Source organism: Homo sapiens, chromosome 10 (assembly GCF_000001405.40).
Source record: "Homo sapiens chromosome 10, GRCh38.p14 Primary Assembly".
NCBI lineage: Eukaryota > Metazoa > Chordata > Mammalia > Primates > Hominidae > Homo > Homo sapiens.
In genome coordinates, this window is record NC_000010.11 from 17,561,747 (window position 1) to 17,563,627 (window position 1,881).

Here is a 1,881-nt window from a genome sequence, read left to right on the forward strand (position 1 = left end):
AGATACACAAACTCACTGAATCCTGCGGTGTTCGAGGGTTTCTGAAGAGAGTTGTTTTCCCCACTTCCACTGGTTTTAATGGAGGAAGGACATGTTTGAAATTGGACTTCTTTTAACTAAACCGAGGAGCCTGAAACCATCACTGGTCACTTTTTTAAGGCCTGAAAACATAGCCCACCCTGCAGTAGAACAGAGAGGTGGGATGCATGTGACATTATTTTAGCACTGAAGCAAGCGACTCCTGAACCCCACTCTACCTATGAAAATTTAATGTGCAAGAAGAGCGACCATCCGGTCACTGTAGTAGAGATGGGGTTTCACCATGTTGGCCAGGCCGGTCTCGAACTCCTGATCTCATGATCCACCCCCCTCGGCCACCCAAAGTGCTGGAATTACAGGCATGAGCCACCGTGCCTAGCCTTAATTTGCATAAGGTCTTTAAAATGCAAGAACAAATGTTTGTGATGTCCGTAGAAGTAGTAGAGGTGGTACCACTTGTAAAATTAAAGGTTAAGGATGACAGTTCTAATTTTTATTCTGTTCGTCCATGCGACTTAAACTTTATTCACATTTGTAACCTTAGATGTTAAATGGAAATAATGTTCACGACCTATTGCATTCGGTCACAATGAAGCAAAAACTACGTATTATAAATCACAAGATTAAAACAAATTACTATCTGCAATCGGCCAGGCTACATTTCCTATCCTGACACCTGAGGTTCGTAACATTACCTTGGAGGAGCCTTTTGGTACCTTTAAAAAATGGCAGTATGACTCAAAAGTGTGAAGTTGCAAAACTCATTATTTTAAGAGCATGATCCTAATATAGTAGCACAAAATAAACCCTTACCTTTCCTTTTCTGTGACACAGCTGTCATCTGGGCTTTGACCGTGGCTGTTAATTTAGTCTATGACTACTTAAATTCCAGCTGAGCCAAAGAAACCGTAGTTCCTTAAAGTCCATTTCTCAATTCAAACAACTGCCAACCACACAAGCTGTCCCTGCAATTAAGAAAATGTAAAGTGATCCCCCACAGAGAGGAATGAAGTCAAGTCAGAAGCTAGGCCAGCAAATCATTTTCGTCTTACGGCTTCCCAGAAAAGCTTTGGCAGGGGACATGACCAGACCATGAACTATGATAAATAGATGAAGGCTTGTTTGTGTCATGCCTCTATATATTCAGCGCCCGAAAGAACATTTTTCCCTGGACTGTACTAGGTTCTGGATTCCGTCCAGATTTCATATACTGCCAATATTTCTGCGGCAAGCAAATTTTATATGATAAAGAAACCCAAAGAGTTTTAGGAAGGGTCACAACATTGGGAATATCAAGTCGACACTGCTTTACTTCTGAATTTCCTTCATTATAAATTCAAATAGGCTTCAGGAAGCTTTAATTCCACTTTTCAATGCATACTTAAAACTGAGCTATAAATTTCTTTGCACTCAAAGTAATTCCTTTTTTTGTCTTTCAGCATGAAGAAATATGAATTCTATACACAATTACTGCAGTGTTTATTCAAAAAGTCACTTATCCTGTCTTCCTAAGAAGCAAAATTATTGTATTAAACACCACACTGCTACCTTCCTGACAGCATTTTTATGTGTCCTTAATTTTAATACCTCTCTAGGTTGTTCGCTTGATTAGTTTTAGGGAAAATATGAGAACCTGAATTTAGTTCACTGCCATTGATGACTCATTTTGCAACCTTGTTTAAATCAGATATTAATAATCAAATACAACGTTGTGCTCCAACAAGTCTGACGATTCAGAAGCTGTTTGGAATTCATGAAATCAATACACAAATATAGAATCATTATTGCTTTGCCAAATGAAATTTAATAGGAGGGCGTTGTTTTGGACTGAGCTCCTGCACT

The 1,881-nt window shown here is 39.0% G+C and overlaps 1 annotated feature.

The window, feature by feature from the left end:
* Positions 904-1,198: an enhancer, noted in NCBI's record as "tiled region #12998; HepG2 Activating non-DNase unmatched - State 22:ReprW". NCBI's record gives its function as "activates a minimal TATA promoter and a strong SV40 promoter by Sharpr-MPRA in HepG2 cells {active_cell/tissue: HepG2}" and the evidence as "EXISTENCE:reporter gene assay evidence [ECO:0000049][PMID:27701403]".